Source organism: Homo sapiens, chromosome 10 (genome assembly GCF_000001405.40).
Source record: "Homo sapiens chromosome 10, GRCh38.p14 Primary Assembly".
Classification (NCBI taxonomy): Eukaryota; Metazoa; Chordata; class Mammalia; order Primates; family Hominidae; genus Homo; species Homo sapiens.
Genome location: NC_000010.11, coordinates 91,121,267 through 91,141,447, shown reverse-complemented (window position 1 = coordinate 91,141,447; position 20,181 = coordinate 91,121,267). Strand labels below are relative to the sequence as shown.

At 39.5% G+C, this 20,181-nt stretch overlaps 1 long non-coding RNA gene across 1 annotated transcript in view; it reads right to left on the bottom strand.

Annotated features, from left to right (window-relative positions):
• Positions 1–3,290: 3,290 nt before the first annotated feature.
• The window catches only part of LOC105378429 (uncharacterized), a 35,018-nt gene continuing 18,127 nt past the window's right edge, over positions 3,291–20,181 (bottom strand). Inside the window, exon 3 of the long non-coding RNA XR_946203.3 lies at positions 3,291–3,619. This is a non-coding gene — a long non-coding RNA (uncharacterized LOC105378429). The remainder of the gene's footprint in view (positions 3,620–20,181) is intronic.

Here is a 20,181-nt window from a genome sequence, read left to right as displayed (position 1 = left end):
AGAAGCCACATATGAAATAAAGATTTCAGCTGGAATTGATAAGTCCCATGGGGATGCTGTAAAGATACAGGAAAAACTAATGTGCTTTTTCTACTCATAAACCACTCACCACTTCTGACACCAAAATGGGTGTGGGAATGTTTCTCTATACACAAAGCAATCAGTGACAGGAAAAACCGAACTGTTTTTTCCTACTCTGTTACATAGTTATATATGTAATACTCAAGAAAGAACACTCGTGTGACCAGATGTGTGGGGATTTCCCCCTACACATGAAGCAATTCTGCAGCAGACATCAGCTGGGTGTCCTACAATTCGATTCAATTCTGACACTATGTACGACGTGGAGATAGAATGAGATCCCACCAGTTGAGGACTCAGTCCCACAAGACTGCCCCCTACTTTAGATGCCAATTTCAAGCCACAGTTGTGGCCTATGCATCTGACTGACCAGCTCTCTAAGTTGGAGTTCCCATGACCTCCTTGGGCTCAATTAATTTGCTAGAGTGGCTCACGAAAACTCAGGGAAACACTTTACTTATGTTTACCATTTATTATAAAAGATACTACAGAGGATATAGGTGAACAGCCAGATGGAAAAGATGCATAGGGCAAAGTATATGCGGATGCATTTGGAGTTTCCACGCGCTTTCCAGGTGAGCTGCCCTCACGAACCTCCATGTGTTCAGCCTGTTCTTTTGGGTTTTGATGGAAGCTTCATTACAGTCATGGTTGATTAAATCACTGGCCATTGATGATCAACTTAACTTTCATCCCCTCTCTTCTCCCTGGAGTTTGGCGGTTGGGGATGAAAGTCCCAGCACTGTAATACTGCCTTGATCTTTCTAATGACTAGTCTCCATCCTGAAGCTGTCTAGGGATACCAATCACCAGTCATATCATCGGCATACAAAAGACACTCTTACCACTCCAGAGATTCCAAGTGTTTTTAGAAGCTGTATGTCAGGAAACAGGGATGATAACCAAATATATGTTTCACAATATCACAGATGCTGAAGAAATTTGTGTTTATTTGTGAATAGGTAAGTCATGGAAAATGACAGGACAATTTTCTGGTAAGCGATATTGTCTTAGTCTGCTCCTGATGCTATAACAAAATACTTTAGACTGGGTACTTTGTAGACAACAGAATTTTATTTTGCAGGCTAGGCACAGTGGCACCCACTAGTAATCCTGGCACTTTGGGAGGCCAAGGTGGGAGTATTACTTCAGCCCAGGAGTTTGAGATCAACCTGGGCAACATAGTGAGACCCTGTCTTTAAAAATATTTATTTTCCACAATTCCGGAGGCTGGGAAGTCCAAGATAAGGCATTGATAGGTTCAATTAGTGGTGAAGGCTCATTCTATGCTTCCAAGATGGTGCTTTGTTGCTGTGTCCTCAGATAGCAGAAGCGACAGAAGGGCAAGGAAGCTCTCTGAGGCCTCTTTTGTTAGGGCATTAATCCCATTAATAAGGGTGGGATTAGTCTCTGATGGCCTAATCACCTCCCATAGCACCACCTCTTCATATCATCATCTTGGGGTTTAAGTTCCAATGTATAAATTTTGGTGGGACACATACGTTCAAACCATAGCAATATTATTTATTTATTGAATAGTCTATGTCACTGTTTCCCTTCTCTGCACTTTGAATGTAATGAATATTAATTTGAAATAGAAAATCTGTACTGTTCTTGAAGGTGTTTTAGAAAAAATAATTTTCAGGTATTAAATGTAATGGAAATTAATTACTTATCTTTCTCATCAGAGTAGTTGTTTGATCAGACAAATACTCTTTCACTGTTATTTTCAGAGTAGCAGAGCCTTTTGATTTTTTCAGGTTCTTTTGGGAGAAAAGATACTGCAGTTACTTGCAATTTAATGAAGACAATTCTTTTATGGCTTCTCACTTTGGAATGCTGTTAGATTGTGTTAGGATGGTGTAGGAAGAATCATATTTATAAGCTCTACATGATCTTGGTGGTTTTAATGGTGTCATAGATTCCAAAATATCACTATACAAGTTTTATTATAGGGAGGCACTGTTTCATACCCCACTCATTCACTTTAGTTTTATTTGGTTAATAACCCGTTAACCCAAAATTCATTCACTTTCTTGCTTTGTTAACCCCGAAAGCAACAACTTATTCCTTGGTTAACCACAGACACTCAGATTTTCCCTTCCATTTGGATTTTATTGACAGGTAGGGTGACCAACTGTCCCAGTTTGCTCAGGACTGTCCTGGTTTTAGCACTGAAATTTCCATGTCCTGGGAAGCCCTCCATCCAGGGAAATCCAGGACAGTGGTCACCCTATCAGCTTTGTTGGTCAAAAATATGTATTGAATATCCTCTACGTGCCAGGCGTTAGAGTCACAGTGGTGAACAACACAGATATCATTCCCGCCTTCATTGAACGTAGAAATATGCAGCTAGTCCATCTGGATCACACGGGAAGGGTGCTGAGGTAGACCGGGCTTTGTGATAATTAATATTCAAAAAACCTTTTTTTTTTTCTAATTAGTTACTGTTGTTATTCAAGAAGATCCCATTGATTTCTATATGCTGGTTTTGTATCCTGCCAACACATTTACATCTTTTAAACTTTTAATGATTTTAGATGCTCTGGGATTTTTCTATATTATGTAATCATATTGTCTGTGAATGACAAGTTTTCTTTCTGTCAAATTTTTTATATCTTTTTTTGATCTTATTGCTCTGACTAGGACTTCCAGAATACTATTGAATAGAAGCAGTGATAACAAATATCCTAATCTTATTACTCAAAGGGAAAGTTCTAAGTTTTACCATTAACTCTGATATTTGATGTGAGTTTTTGGGAAGATAATCATTATAACATCAAAGTTTCCTTCTGTTCCTATTTGCTAATAGTTGTATTAGAAATTGCTTTTGAATTTCATTGAATAATTTTTCTGTATCTATTAAGAGAATTAGAAACATTTTCCCATTTTGCTGTTAATAGAATGATTTATGTGACAAATCTGTATTCCTCCTCCTGCCTCAGCCTCCTGAGTAGTTGGGACCATATGCTACTGGCCCAATTTTTTTATTTTTTGTAAAAAGGGGGTTTAGCCATGTTGTCCAGGCTGGTCTCAAATCATGTGTTTGTAAGATAACCCAAGTTGTTCATGATGCCGTGTGTGTGTGTGTGTGTGTATGCGTGTGTGTATTTTTGGATTCAGTTTGCTAATGTTTATGTATGTTTGTGTTTTTGCATTTTTGTCAACATATAAAGTTAATCTAAAATTATTGTGTCTCATGCCATTTTTTCCAGAAAATTCTTGTGTACAGTTAGCTTTTGCTGCATAAAAAAACACTTCAAAACTTAGTGGCTTGAAACATAAACATATATTATTTCATATAATTTTCTGCCAGCTGTGGGTGGTTTACCTGGTCTGAGCTCAGTCAAGTGGCAGCTTGGCTGGGGTCCAGATGACCTCACGTAATGGCACTAATATGTCTGGTGCTTGGCTGGATGATTGATTTAGGAGGCCTTGGTTGAGAAGCTTATCTCTATTCCATTTGGTCTCTAACCCTCCAATAGGCTAGCCCAAAGTTTAGCTTTTTCACATGGTGGTCCAGGGTTCCCAAGATCAGCTAGAAAAATCAAGCCAAAATATGTAAACTTCTCAAGACTCTGCTTGTGTCACATTTGCTAGTGTCCCATTGGCCGAAGCAAGTTACATGTCCAAGCCCAAAGACACCTGAGAAGATAACACAAAGAATGGGAATTATGGTGGTCCTTTTTGCAAATAACTTACCACATCTTGACTCTTCCTTGATCCTGAGATAGTTCTAGGCCTTCTAAGGACAAGGACAAAAATTTCTTACAATACTTTCCATCCCTTCATAGCCTGGCTCCTAGACCAAACTAAGATCCCTTTAAGCAGCCTACATTCATGGAGAGTGGTAGAAAAGTCACATTAAAGACATACAAATCGCAGTTAATAAAACAACGACTGCGTGGAAGAAACTGCTTCCCTCCCTCTCCCATTCTCTTCCCTTCCCTTCCCTTCCCTTCCCTCTCCTCCCCTCCCCTCCCCTCCCCTCCCCTCCCCTCCCCTCCCCTCCCCTCCCCTTCCTTCCTTCCTTCCTTCCTTCCTTCCTTCCTTCCTTCCTTCCTTCCTTCCTTCCTTCTTCCCTTCCTTTATGCTTATTGGGTTCCTATTAAGTGCCAGGCATTGTGCTAGGAATTAGGGATAAAATGATGACGCGTAGTTCAGATTTTGGGCAAACAAAGGAACAGAGAACTACCAGGCTATGAAAAACTCTTGATGAAGGATGGGAGCCGACATATAGAAGGGGTTGACATATTGTATGTGAGGAGCAGCATGATTGGTAAGAATCTTAAAATCTTGTGATTTTGGAATTATCTATTTTAAATAGATATTTTAAATAAACATATGTATATACATAATTGGTCATACAAGATATTCATTGTAGGCCGGGCACGGTGGCTCACGCCTGTAATCCCAGCACTTTGGGAAGCCGAGGCAGGCGGATGACGAGGTCAGGAGATCCAGACCATCCTGGCTAACACGGTGAAACCCCGTCTCTACTAAAAATACAAAAAATTAGCCGGGCGCCGTGGCGGGCACCTGTAGTCCCAGCTACTTGGGAGGCTGAGGCAGGAGAATGGCGTGAACCCAGGAGGCGGAGCTTGCAGTGAGCCGAGATAGCGCCACTGCACTCCGGCCTGTGTGAAAGAGCGAGACTCCATCTCAAAAAAAAAAAAAAAAAGATATTCATTGTAGTATTGTTTGAAAAAAATGGAAACAATATAAATATATTTGAGTGGAAGAAGGATTATATAAGTTATGGTACTTCCATACTATGAAATTCCATAAATCGGGCACGGACTTGGTGGCTCACACCTGTGTTCCTAGCACTTTGAGAGGCCGAGGTGGGTGGATCACCTGAGGTCAGGATTTTGAGACCAGCCTGGCCAACATGGTGAAATCCTGTCTTCACTAAAACTAGAAAAATTAGCCGGGCAAGGTAGCAGTGAGCCGAGATCCTGCCACTGCACTCCAGCCTGGGCGACAGAGCCAGACTTCGTCTCAAAAAAAAAAAACAAAAAAACAAGAAGCAGAATGATATGAATTGACATGGTAAGAGAGTAACATATTGTTATTGGAAAAAGAGAAGTTTTAAAACAATATGCATATATCATTTTGTTAAAAAAATATGTGAATATATATGTGCATGTGTGTGTGCATGCGTGTGAAAATAGAAAAAAAAAAAAAGACACCAAATTTGAAATAGTAGCTATCTCTAAAACTCCGAGGAGTAAGATTAGTGGGAGGATGTGATGGGACCTTTTTTTTCGCTTTTACTTTATATATAATTTGAGTACAATTTGAATTTTGAAAAATAACATGTATTACTTTTTTGGTAATTTTAAAAATAAACTCTGTTTTAGATTTACAGAAATATTGAGAAGCTGGTACACAGAATTCTCATACACCCCATACCTAGTAGTCCCTATTAACATCTTTCATCCATATGGCAAATTTGCCGCAATTGATGAACCGGGATTGACACATTATTACTAACTAAAGTCCTGATAATTGAAAAATCTTACTAGAAAAGTACAGAGAGGATGGGGTGCGGACCTAATAGGAATGCCTGCCTCAGAAACGCTGGGATAGTCAGGCATCCCTCAAGACACCTATTAGCATGGGGACCTGGGATACATGGTGAAGGCCTCTGAAGCTGATGATCAGATCCTGGGACCCCTGCGTCACACAGCTCAACCGAGAGGACATAAAAAGGTTCACAACCTCGGATCAGTATGGCTCCAGGAAGGCAGATAATTTACCGTGAGAAAAAATATATTTCTGAGTGCTCAACACATGGATGTGGTTGGCGACTCTTAAGCTGGCTCTCCCACTCCATCCCCACACTCCAGAGCTCGTTTCAAGTTCTTCTACAAAGTAGGCTAAGCAAGAGAGGCAGGGCATCCTAAGAGCATAAAAATAACTGTAATCAACGGCTGTCCCAGACCTCAAAAACTGGATGAAAATATTGTCCCAGCTTCTGGAACTTCTTCAGTGATGGCAGCAAGGGCAGCAGAGCCCAGCACCACAGGCTCTGGCAGGCATGGCCACAGCGAGAGTGTGCAGTGGGATCCAGCCACGGGTAGAGGAGGCAGTGCAGACAACAACAATCAAAGTGCTCACAGGAAGAGGATACGCTGGGAAGTTTAGGGCGCCAATATAACCTTTTGAGATGGATAGATGCAAGTGTCTTTGCACTTTTTACCCACGCCTCATGGATGCCAAGACTGGTGTAGCTCAGGGAAACAAGGACTAGACGGAGAGTGATAGAGAACCTCAAGGCACAAGCAGTCACCTTCAGTAATGCAGCCACGGTAAGAGGAGCTCCTGCACCCTCCCCTGTGCTCCCCAAAGCACTGGGTATGTGCCAATTGGAGTTGCTCGTATCGCCTCTATTTCTCCCATTAGACTGAATGCCTGAAGGTTAAAGGCCGAGGCATGTTCAGTCTTTTATATTGTCTTCTATATTTGTGTTTCCTATAGCATTTATTCCAGTATGTGCTTGACACAGGTTTATTGAATTCAGCAATGAGCCTGCACTGATATGTTACAATAAGGAGGGAAGCTACAAAATTAGACCAAGTGATAAGAGCCAGGAACTTACCCCCAAAGAAGGATTTAAACAAATTGTAGCAATTCCTGAATCAGGACCACATACAGAAATAAAAAGTTTGGGATAATACTAATTCTTTCTTAGAAAAGCTAGCCTTTAAATCCGCAAGGAAAGAAATATATTGCATTTTATCCTGAGTGGTGATCAGGAATAGCTACAGAAAGTGGCTGTGGGTGAACTGTTACATAACAATGACAAAATGATTGAATTCAGAATCTGGCAAGGGAGGGGGGAGTTTTTTTTTTAAATCCCATTAAGATGCTTAAGTTTTAAAAGGAAATGAAGCTAAAGTGCTAGATTGAAATAAATACCTGTAGTTACATTTTTAAAATAATACAAAGAGAATCTGAAGACTTTAAAAATACTTTTGTGAGAAATGAATGTCACCAATTTTACAAATTAGATGTTGGAGGAAAAAAATCACATTTTGTTCACTAAAGGAAATCACTGGAGGTAAAATAAAAGGGTTTCATGGGAGAAGGGGAAGATTCTACAAACGAAAGAACAGAAAAGCATATAACTTCCGTCAGATCAAGTTCATATTAGCAATTAGGCAGAAATTAAAGAATCACATAGAACAAAGAATACCATTTTTAATATGAACCAGCTGTGAGTGACTAGGACCCTATGGAATAAGTCACTTGAGCTGTGAGATCAAGGACTACTAAATTAAGCATAAACTACTTGGGGGAAGTTTTTCCGTAAGGAGAAATCATGTTTGAAAAATCCCTTAGGAATCCTCAAGGGGTTACATCTACTTATATTGAAGGGAAACTGTGGATGTGGTAGATTTGGTCTATTATCAGCCTTTGTCTAGATTCACACACTATAGACATGTTGAGATTTTGTGAAACTGAGGACAATGTTTAGTCAAGGGCAGATAGTTGTCTTTGAGACAGGAAACATGTAAAGCTAAATAAATGGATGCCTTTTAGGGGTGATAAATACAGATGGCAATCCTACTCAATTTCTTTATGAATGACCTGGAAAGGCAAAACCTCCAAGTTTTCAAATAACAGTTACTCTGTGAAAATGAAACCTAGGATGTTCTTCAGTTGAGCCCTTGTAACCTGGTGTAAGCACACCACAGGAGCCTCAGGGTAAGCAAGGGTTAGATATGCACATGGGCCAAATAATCTGGTTTATTCTTTAAGGATGTTGGGCTTGTGCTTTAAAGATGTTACTCCCTCCCTGTTAGTCTGATCAAAGAAGGAAACCTACAAATTAAAGTCCCCTGGATAAGTAGTTCTCAAACTTTTTGGTCCCAGAACCAAAACATTAACATTTATTGAGGACTCCAAAGAGTTATTTATTAGTTTATTCAAGAATCACAATAAACCCATTACCTGTTAATGTAAATAAAACAATTTTAATTAACTATATTTTTCAAATGAAAAAATAGTGAGAAGAATGGTATTGTTTTTTGTTTTTATCTTGTGAGATAGGGTTTCACTCTGTCACCCAGCTTAGAATTTAGTGACGCAATTTTGCCTCACTGCAGCCTCGACCTCCTGGGTTCAAGCAATCCTGTCAGCTCAGCCTCCCAAGTAGCTGGGATAGCTGGGACTATAGGAGTGCACCACTCCCTGCTAATTTTTTATTCTTTATGGAGACAGAGTCTTGCCATGTTGCCCAGGCTGGTCTTGAATGCCTGAGCTCAAGCGATCTGCCCACCTCAGCCTCCCAAAGTGCTGGGATTACAGGCATGAGCCACTGCGCCAGGCCCTGTATTGTTTATTTTTGAAAGTCTCTTTAGTGTATGACATGAGTTGTATTTTTGTAGATTTCTTTAATGTATGTAAGAATTGGATGAATACATTTGCTTCTACATTCAAGCTGTTGCGATGCTGTTTTAAATGAAGTATATGAAGAAAATCTGGCCTCATAGAAATGTGTAGTTGGAAAAGGAGTTTATTTTCATAGCCTTTTGAGATAATTGTGGATATTCTTCTTTGATATACACCAAAACTCAACAAGTGGTAGTTTTTTAGTTGCAGTGTAGAATCTGTAATCATATCAATTAACTTTTCATGTTCTGTTATACTAAAATTTATTGGTTTATCTTTCATTTTGAATGTTTTTAAAAATATTTAAATGTGTACATAATTTTTGTAACATAGTGAATTATTCATTTGGAAATTATTGATTACTGAGTTCTATAGGTGTTGCAAATGTTAATATGTTTCATTCTAAAATATCAAAAAAATGCATTTGTTACTACCGTGGATCTCATCAGGAAAGTCTTTAGATATTCAGAAGCTGTTCAGTTGTCAGTGAAGAATACAAGTTTTCCAAAACTCTAATTTTTGCTTGAAAACTAGAATTTTGTCATTGCCAACAAATTCCTTCAGTTTTATTTTTTTCGAAGTGATAGGCTCACTTCCTTCATTCTGGAAAAAATGTGTGCCAGCTCCTATAGTCATATTTTGTTTTTCTTTCAAGTAAAACTTGTGTTCCATAAAGAAAAACAACCAGTGTAGCTCACAATTCAATTGCACGAGTGCGTTTTCTCAAGACAACATTCATATTTCTAATGATGCAGAAGTGATTTATGAGTCGTTCTCATTTTGTCACCCAGGATATTGAAAAGACATGTTCTCAAGGTCAAAACTTAATAAAATTAATTATTTGTACTGCTTAATCAAGGACATCTTAAATGAAATTAGATTTTTTTGAAAAAACTCTGAGTGTATGGTGGTAAATACAATGAGGACTAGTGCTAAGGCACCAGCAGTTTTATCCACCATTGCTTTTGCACCAACTGTATTAATCCAGCACAGCAACAAATACAAATGATTTCTTAGTATCATTATGAAAATACTTTGTACTTTAGTGATCATCTGAGAGGGTCTCAGGGACCTGAAGTGTTGTGTACCACACTTTAAACACTGTGTACATTGCTTCACTTAAGATAGCCAAGAAAATGTTCAGTCTCATCAGACTAGTATTAGAAACTAAATACAAGGAATTTCATAAGAAAAAAAATCTGCTCCTCTAAAAACGTCTCTTCTATAGTTGACATGTCTGTCTTTACACATAGGACAATGATTTGGAGAAAAGTAACTATAATTATTCAGGGTTGGAGGAACCACCTATAAGAGAAGAAAGACTAAAATAATTAAAATGTTACTTCAGAAAGAGAGGGGGTTTGTCTATAGTTTAAAAGGTCATGATTTCATTTGTTTGGTATTTTTCAAGCACTTGTAGAGTTCTATGTATTATATAAAGAGGCATATCCCTAGGGCCCTGCTCTTATAAGAGAACTTGAGTGTAGTTGGTAAGGCAGGATATGTAACTGTAATAAGGGAAATGAGAATCCAAGAACTAAATAGAGACATAAGACAACAATATCAGAATTTGCCACAAGCCAACATGTGATTCAAAGCTTAATGAATGGTACAGATGATCAGGGCTCTGCAGTCCCAGGTGAATCTCACCAGTCCTAGTCTCAAGATAGAGCTGCTGTCTTACTGCCAACAGCCTGCCCTTACCTTCAACCTCCCTTCCACCCAATTCTGCCACCAGTGAGATTTCAGACTAGCAAGGCAAAAGCTTTCTCCAGACTGGTGTGGCAGGGTAATTAGGGAGCTCTGAACATGTGTTTGTTCCTGCTAGGCCTTCCTTGATGGTCCCAGCCTCTAGTGTGTTTGCAGGGCTACACCTCAGAAGCTTCTTGAGGTCACACACTTTTCCTTACTTTTGTGAAAGCCTAAATGTTTAAATTGAGAGGATGATGCCAAGTGGCGTACATAGGGAAGCATGAAGCCAAAGCAGGTGAGAGGAAGCAATTCCTGAATATGGAACAGGGCTTTAGTTGGTGAGGCAGAGCTCCAGGCAGAGGGTGGGACCCCAGAGGGGCTGGCTGTGGGGGCACCGAGGGAGGCTGCCTTGTGTCTGTTACTGAACCAACATTCATGGAGCGACCACTATGAGTCAGGCGCTGTGTGAACAGAACCCTGGTGATGAGGGTCTAGTGGCTGCCCTGAGAACCTGCTTAAACTGTTTCTAAACTTGGTTATTTAACTTTCTCACTCCAGATGTCTTTATGTACTGACAAGCTAGAAAGCTCTTTTAATCCTCTGCATACTCTGCAGTGGCTATACTGCCTCTCCCACCTAGATGGCACTCCCCATATTGTTTTCTAAAAAATATTGTGGGTTCATGGAGAGTTGGTGAGCTTTTAGAGGTAGAGGAGAAAAACCTAAGAATACTCCAAGGTGACCCTGAAGGTCTGCTTGGGAAGGTTCAGAAGGAGATAGAGTATAATGTTCCTTCTGTTGAACATGAAGGAGAAAATAAACAAAACAAGATTACAGACAGGTACTTTCCTAAAAGCAATACTTTGAAAAGGTCTAAGTGAAGGCAGACCTTCAGGCTGTGTGACAGCAGGCATGTCAAAACCTGCTCAATAGTTCCCACCAAGATTTTGGTTGGACACTTGGTTATTTGTCAATGTGATGGAAAAATGCCTTATGCCAGGCTGCTGGGGGTTTGCCATGAAGAAGAAACAGGACTACCCTAATAAAGAGACAGAGAAAAACAACAAAAACAATGGAGACTGAAGAGTGGGAGAGAGAGGTGGTTTTCCAGTGTATGTACCAAACCCATACTTCATCCTTCCAGCTCTCTGCAGGTTGTTGGTCTCCTCATCACTCCAATTGTGGCACTGGAAGGCCTTTTCCATTCACTCACTCCATTCGTGGCTTGTTTGGCCCATTCATGGTGGCACAACTTGGAGAACTAAGGGCCTTTTCCAAGAAACAAGGATTCATAACTTTCTGGGCATGTTGCAGAATGAGTGAACTTACTGGGAGTCTATTTGAATAAGTGTCTCTAGCCTGATGGAGAGGAATTTTTCCCAAGAAAGGGAGTTGAGGTGTACAAACTTGGTTCCAAGACAAGAGATTGGGTTTGGAGAAGTGGGGTCATTCTCAATATAATTAGAGGTATAGCAGGGTGATTTAGGGAAAGAATTTAACAAGTCTAAAAAGATGAGCCATTAACTGGGAGAGAAGCTATTTTCAATACATATAACTAACAAAGGACAGATTCCTGATTATGTAAAGAATTGTTAAAAATAAAAACTCAGCAGAGTTGAGCAAAACATATGCACAGACATTTCACATAAGAATAAACAGAAAGGATTAATAAGCTTAAGAAAATATTAGCAACTCCATTAATGAGTAAAATGCCCATTAAAGCCATAATGAGATAATAATTAATGATCACCAAATTGGAAAAAATTAGCTCAATGATGTCACATGTTGGCCCAGATATGGAGCAATGAGACTTTTCATACAATACTAGAAAGAGGGTAAATTGGAAAATAGTTTGGTATTATCTAGTAAAGCTGAACATTGTGTACACTATGACCCAGGAATTATTTTAGGAGTAGGAATATACCCTAGATGAACTCTTGTGTATGCATACCTGAGAAGATGTTAAAAAATAGTCCATGGCAGCATTGCTCATAATATTTTTTAATAAATTGGAAAAACTTAAAATCCAATAGCCGTAAAATGTATAAATTAATGTATATTCACACAATGGAAAACTCCATAAAAATGAAAAAGCTACAGCTATACACATTAATATGAATGAAACTAAAAAGCAATACTGAGTGATGAAATCAAACCACTGAATGATTTATTTTATGTGAAGTTCAACAAACAGGCAAAACTAAGTAATACATAGTTAGGCATACCAACTCCTGTGGTAAAACCCTGGAGAACACAAGCGCTGGGCACGGTGGCTCGTTCCTGTAGTCCCAGCACTTTGGAAGGCCAAGGTGGGCGGATCCCTCGAGCTCAGGAGTTTGGAAGCAGCCTGAGCAACATGGTGAAACCCCGTCTCTACAAAAAATACAAAAATTATCCAGGTGTGGTGGTGCATACCTGTAGTCCCACCTACCTGGGAGGCTGAGGTGGGAGGATTGCTTGAGGCCAGGAGACTGAGGTTTTATGACCACAGCAGTGAGCTGTGGTCATAAAAACAAGAACACAAGGGAATAACAAGCATGAAATATAGGGTCGTGGTTACCACTAGAGAGGACTGGAGAGAGGGGCATTGATTGTGAAGCATCTAGGTAACTTTCAAGGTATTGGGAATGTTATATTTCTTAAGGTAGGTTAGTTTAATTTTAAAATTATTATTCTTTTTAAATTATACATTATGTATACTCTTACATAATACAGCTTATGATAAAATTATAACTTGGAAAATAATTTGATTAAGAAATTAACAGCATCTTTCTTTGTTGGCTAGAAGTTTATCATGAAAAATTAAGAGATATTTTATATCCCCCCTCCTCTCTAGTAGATTGTTTCCAAACATGGGACAATGCTTTCTATTTTGCATGTCATTTTGCAATATGACTTTGCCATGTCACCCATCAAAAGGTGGAGTCTAGGCCAGGCGTGGTGGCTCACGCCTGTAATCCCAGCACTTTGGGAGGCTGAGGCGGGTGGATCATGAGGTCAGGAGATCGAGACCATCCTGGCTAACACGGTGAAACCCTGTCTCTACTAAAAATACAAAAAATTAGCCAGGCATGGTGGCGGGCGCCTGTAGTCCCAGCTACTCGGGAGGCTGAGGCAGGAGAATGGCATGAACCCGGGAGGCGGAGGTTGCAGTGAGCCGAGATCACACCACTGCACTCCAGCTGGGCAACAGAGTGAGACTCTGTCTCAAAAAAAAAAAAAAAAAAGTGGAGTCTATTTTCTTGCCCCTGGAATATGGGTTGACCCTGTGACTTGGTTTTCTCAACAGGATGTGGTGAAAATAACATTGTGCAAATTCTGAGGCTAAGCCTTAAGAGAACACACAGCTTCTGTTCTCACCCTCTTAGAATCCTGAGCCCACCATGCCATGAATACAGCCAGAGGGAAGATCATGTGGGAAAAGAGGCCCAGTCATCCCAGCTCTCTCATCTGAGCCAGCCCCTAGCCAATGCACCTGCTGAATATAGCCACATGAGTCAGCCCAGGCAAGACCAGCAGAAGAATAATTCAGCCAACCTCCAAAATCATGAGATATAAGAAAATCATTGTTGTTTTCAGCTATTAAGTTTTGGGGAGGTTTATTAAACAACAATAGATAACGAGTACAGTCCCCCATAGTAGAACCTGCGATTGGTGAAGTTCCCCATAAAAGAACATGAAGCCAGCCCACCCAGAGGAGTGCCTTGTGCCAGACAGACATTGGAGAATCAGCACTGGACAGAGGCATCACACTGTAGAAAGACCAATGATAATAATAGCAGCTACCTGGAATTAGATCCAAGTACTGCCACCGTTTTCCAGGTGCTTTATGAGCTTAAGGGTTGTTATATGAGCCTGCTAAATGGGAGCTACCACCACTCACTTATAACAGACACCTCTAGCCTCAGGATATGTAGACTTAGAGTCAGATTTCATTCATTTAGAAAAAGTGAGCAAAAGTGCTATTTCTTTCAGTGAGTGTCATGAACAATTCACGTGTCATATACCAGCATACATGGCTGGGATTATCCCTGATTCCTCTCCTACTTCCTGCCACATCCCAACCCCTTTAGGATTTAGGCCAGAACCTTCATAGAGACGATGACAAGAAGAGGTATCACAACCTCTGAACTAAATGGAGAAACTAGGAACACAAGATGAAACTGCTTATGAGCTGGACACATTAGTTGGGGTTGAGGGAATTTTCTTCAATCCGGGAGTTGACTGTTGCCAAAGCTTGGATTTGGGGATTAAGAACAAAAGTGAACAATGTCTTATACAATGGAAAGGAAAAAGGAACAGTGGTGGAATATCTGGGGTATCACTGCAGTCTGGTCAGTGGGCCTATATTGGGACAGCACTCGGAAAGAGACAATATGGAACCTGTGAGAGCTCTCATTCTGATCCCAAGGATAGATGTCTAGGGGGAAATTAAGTCTGATGAGGCCTGAGGAATCGCAGGAGTCAGCTATGCTTGTGGTAAGGACATTATTGTGGGAGAGCCCTGGAGAGTCAGTAGGATTAATGTAAGCAGGTAGTGAGTACTAAGGGCCAAGATGTGTACAGCAATGTGAGTATCTATCTGTCCGTGACTCAGCAGGAAAGAGATGGCCCACTCAAGCTGGGTAATTAAAGAGAGTTTAATAAAAGGTTGATTTCAGTGGTGTGGACAGGGCTTAGGGAATGTGACAAGGGATGGTGCAGAATCCTGAAGCAATGAGAGAATAGGGAGCCTTTACCAGCCTAAAGGGGAAAGGGGAAAAACCAATTACAAGGGCTTAAGGAATGAGAAGTACAGAGAAAGCTGCCTGACAGGAGCTGTGAAGCTATGGCTTTCCAGAGACCCTGCTGATACACACCACACCTTGGCCAAATCCAACTGATGCCAGAGGGCTGAGGAGCCTGGTTAACGCAGACCTCTACAGATCAGTCTACAGGGCCACAGAGTGGAGTGGAGGGGAGAGTGGAACTGGGGAATCAAGTAGAAGATATCAGCACAGAGTACGTAGCAGGGCCAGACAGTATGGCTTTGCATCTTCCTCCAACAATGAGGCTCTACCTTCTAAAGATAAAAGCAGAGAAAAGGCAGGGTGGAGATGTGGGGATGGGTGGTGGCTTGGGGCCTGGTATGGTCAAGATTATTACGTATTTTTTTGTAAAAAAATACTAATACTTGTATCTTTTTTAAAAGTTTACTGTTTATTATTATAATAAATGCACACTAATTTGTAGATGCAACCAATCAACAAAATACAGAAAAATCGGAAGAAGGAAACAAAATACAATGGTAATCTTTAATCTCATCACCCAGGGATAATAACCATTTGCATTTTGGTGTTTCTCCTTCTAGTGTTTTTGTCCGTGTGTATGTATATGTGTGTGTGTGCAAAGGTGTATATGTAACTTTGTGTTATATATCTACAGGTTACTTAAAAAATAATTGAACACATTACAAAATTCATTGTACTGTACAACTTCTACTTGTAGATATACATCAAAAACTTTATGTTTGTACTGCCTTTTCTTTGTAGACTTAAGGAAACAAAGAACAAATCCTGGCTGTCACTGGTGGTGGCAATATGCTGGGATGAATAGACCACAGAGCTGATGAGTGACATGTGGCAGAAGGGGCACGTATGAAACATTTGTAAGAGGAGAGAAATAACTCTGAGAGTTTCTTTACAAATAGATTTTGATTACATGTTCACATACAACTTAGTTACTGAATAAGTCATTTTGGTAAATATCCATTTCTTTATGAATAACTGTATTTTCAAAGTTAAGATCTATCATATGTACAGTTTATAGCTTGCTCTTCACATCTGCCATTATACTGTGACTGTTTTCCTGTGCCATTAAGTATTATTGTGTGAAAAGTGTTATCACTCTATTCACAGTCCCCGAAAGGGACCACCCTGATTACCGTAAGACGCTTCTCCTCTCCTAACCCTTTCAGTCATAGCTGTTTGGACCAGAGATAGGCCAAGGGAGAAAAAACATGGGCCCAACTATGCCAATCAGTTGGTTTCAAGATTTTAGCCTGAGGCACACAGGCTGTGGTGAACATCTTGTTCATAAATTTTTGTGTTATATGTATGATTATTTCCTTAGGGCACATTCTTGGAAGGTCAATTACCTGGTCAAAAAAAAGGGTGAGGTTAAAAATCTTGATATATATTGCCAAGTAACTGTCCAGGAAAAATGTAGAATGCATATCTTTATGTGTCACAAAATGCCTTGCTGATATCCCTTTTTAAATTTGCATTAGGATAGGAATGTTAATTTATTTCAGAACTCATCCATTAACACGGTTCTGATAAAAAAAGCCATAATAAAAATCTCACAAAAGGGGCTTTATCAGGCTGTGTTTCCCTCTATTGATCAATTTATACTTTTCTAACTTTAATGGAGCCCGTTGCTTGAAAGGTTAGCTTCAAGCAGTTGCCATGGGATCTAGATTGGGGAGAGAATCTTGCAGCACTGGGAAGAAAACAACAGAGTGTGCAGATGCCCTAGTGAGGAGGCAGCCAGGTTCTGATGGATGTGTGTGGAGGGTGGGAGCCAGCGTGATTCTGCAGGCTCTGGCCATCAACTTTCCATCGGTTTGTTCTTTGCCCCTTACCAGGGTTGAAAATGCCAAAGGGGTAGTCTATTTTCCTTGCAAGATTCAGCACAGTAGGGACACTTAGCAAAGATTTTTTTTTTTCATTTTGTAGCTGAAGAGAGAAAATGAGATATTAGAGGGGAAAGGGTATTCTTCTGGGGACAAGGTCTATGGCCTGAGAAGCCTGCCTTGTGGCTATTGTGGAGTGGAGGCAAAGGTTTTCTGAATGCTGGCATGGGGTCAGCAAACTATGGCTCTCAGACTGTGAGCTAAGAATGTTTTTTGTATTTTTATATAGTTAAAAAAAAGAAGAATCTTTTGTGATATGTGAAACTTTTATTACATTCATATTTCATTGTCTATAAATGAAGTACTTGGGCAGTTGAGTAGTTGTGACAGAGACTGTGTGGCTCACAAAGCCTCAAATATTTACTATCTGGCACTTCAAAGAAAACATTTGTCTACCCCTGTGATAGACGAGTAGCTCCCACGCCTTGAGCACTTACTGCATGCCAGGTATTGTAGTAATCACTTTACATGCATTTCCTCATTTAGTTTTCCCAACTTTTCCTATGAAATAGTGGGTATGTAATTTATTTATGTTTTACATCTTGAAAATGAAAAGTTTGAGAAGTTAAATTTTTGATACCTGGTAAAATGGTGAAGCTGAGTTTCAAAGCCAGGTTTCTGACCAGAGAACCTGAAGGTTTAATTGCGTGATCTGATGAATAGTCAATAGACATCTTTCTACAATGTTCTTTAGGCCTTCCCGTCTTCTCAGATTCCTAAACTGTAGTGAATCTGTAGCTGGTGTAGAATAGGATAGAGCACAGAAAATGCCTGGTGTGGCTCCTGTCACTAAGCAGGGATTAATAGATGTTAGCTAAGATTATTATAAAAATATAATGATTTATAATAATGAAGTGTCCAAATAATTTACTTTGTCCTTGATATCCTTAGGTCAAATTATCATTGTTTGTTTCTCTCTCTCTCTTTCTACACACACACACACACACACACACACACACACACACACACACACATAGATACACATGCCTACGTCTTCGAAGGCAACAGTCTTGAGATAAAACTTTGTTCACCATTTCCCCTTCTTAAAGTGCAGCTTAGTACTGTTTTCTTTCTCTGCTCAGCATATCCATTCTTTTTGATTTCTATTGTGGCTCTAATCTCTTCCAGCTGTTGCTGCAAATCTTTCCCTTCCTTCTCCCTCCACCTCACTTCCCTAATCCATCTCCATTTCTGATCTCTCTGTAAAACTCAAAGGGCTTTCTGTCCCGGGAAAAAAGAAGGCTTTCAGCATAGGAGGTTTGCCATGCCCATGCTCCAGTAAGTGGGGCAATATAACGACACAATTACGTTTTTGACATTTAGATGCCTTTTATGAGCCATCTAGCTTTGTGAACTCTGTTTTCTGAAATCAGAGGTTTTCAAAGGTGGAAGAGATTTTATACATTCTTTAAGTCAATCTCATGACTATTATTAGAAACTCTTCTAGCACCTCCTTGACCCATGGGTACCCAGGTTCATTTGGATGCTTCCAGTGTCCAGGGGCTCACTTTTCTCCCAAGGTAATCTATTCCTTTGTGAGAAAGCCAACTATTAGAAAAAGCTCTTCCTTAAGAGTTTGCCACTCTGTTACATCTATCCAGCGGTCTCAGGAGTCAAATAAAAAACCCTACTCCTTCTTCCACGGGATAGTCATTCATACATTTGCAGGTTGTCACTATGTCTTTCTAAACTCTCCCTTCCGCCCTTCCACATAGACATTTGTGTCCAGTCCTCATGACAGTTCTGATAGCTATCATTGGAAGGAGTTCAGTTCATTGTCATGATCTCTTTTAAAGCACCTGGAGCAGTGCTGGACAGAAAATACTTTACATGGTCTGCCCAGCACCAAATTACATAGATTTGGACTATCGGCAGTGTGACCTTGCAGATTGGGATGAAAAGCAAGGCAAAACCTGGAGAGATACCGAGAATTTAGTTGTAAATACAAATTGCAAAAGTTGTGTGATCCTAAAGCAATCACCAGTATATGAAAAAAATTAGGATGTTCCACCAAGTACAAGGACTTTTAGAGTTAGATGAAAAAGCACTTAATTATCTTAAGAACCAAAGAAATGCAAAATCCAGTCAAATGATCAGTTTGGGTAGGAACTGCAGATATCTAGGCGGATAATAAAAACTAGGGATAGTATAGAACTTGGATTCAGGGAAACGGGTTTCTTGTCTTCCCTTCTCCCTCTTCTCTCATCCCATAAACACTCTCACATTATGTAGTATTACAATAAAAACTAATTGGGTACAAAGCATTTCATCGAGTTTTCCAAAAAAGAAAATACAAATGGCTCCCCACTAAAATCTCTGATCATTTTGTAATTTCATTCTGAGAAGGTAATTTTCCACATTATACACATATGAGGGGGTAATCCCAAAATTTGTACAGGATAATAAAATAATTAACTTAAAGGCTAAACACTTTCCTATCTTGGAAGATTTAGAAGTGTGTAGATATGTTTTAAGAAGAATCAAATGTAGTATATTAATATTTTTATATCATGAAATTGGTGTATAGTTAGCAATTTGCATATTTGAAATAATTAGAAAAATTTTTGAGGGTCATTCTTGTTAACCCAATTTAAAATGTGTAATTGAGAACTTGACTTAGACTTACAATTTTAACTGAAAATCTTACTAAATTTACATACAGTATTAGAACATTTAAGAAAATTTGAGACATCATATTTATAAATATATTATTTTAATATTAATTGCCTAGGAAGTTTTGTCTTCTAAATCAGTGGATAAAGATATTTGCCAAAAAATAAGAGCTATATTAAATTTATAAATACAGTTCAAATGTTTTAAGGCCTTTAAGTTTATAAGTAGGGCCAAGTATTATTTCAAAGTCCCTTTAAAAATGATTGTTAAGGCCGGGCGCAGTGGCTCACAGCTGTAATCCCAGCACTTTGGGAGGGCGAGGCAGGCAGATCACGAGGTCAGGAGTTTGAGACCAGTCTGGCCAGCATGGTGAAACCCCATCTCTACTAAAAATACAAAAAAAAAAAAAAGATTGTTACACGAGTTTACCTGTATAACAAACCTGCACATGTACCCCGAACCTAAAATAAAAGTTTAAAACAAGATTGTTTAAATTTACTAGAATTGAGTGATAGACTTTGTCACCTTAACTTAAAAGCTTAAGAAATAGATTTTTAAAATACATATCTTAAAGTATCATATATTAAAATTTAGAACCAAAATTAATCCCTCGAGTAGTCTTTTCAAAAGTCACTTCAAGGGTACTGAAAAACCTCACAGTGAACAATGATCTCCCTGATGGTCAGCAGCCTCCTAGGTTGGGTTGCTAATTTCAGCCCAGG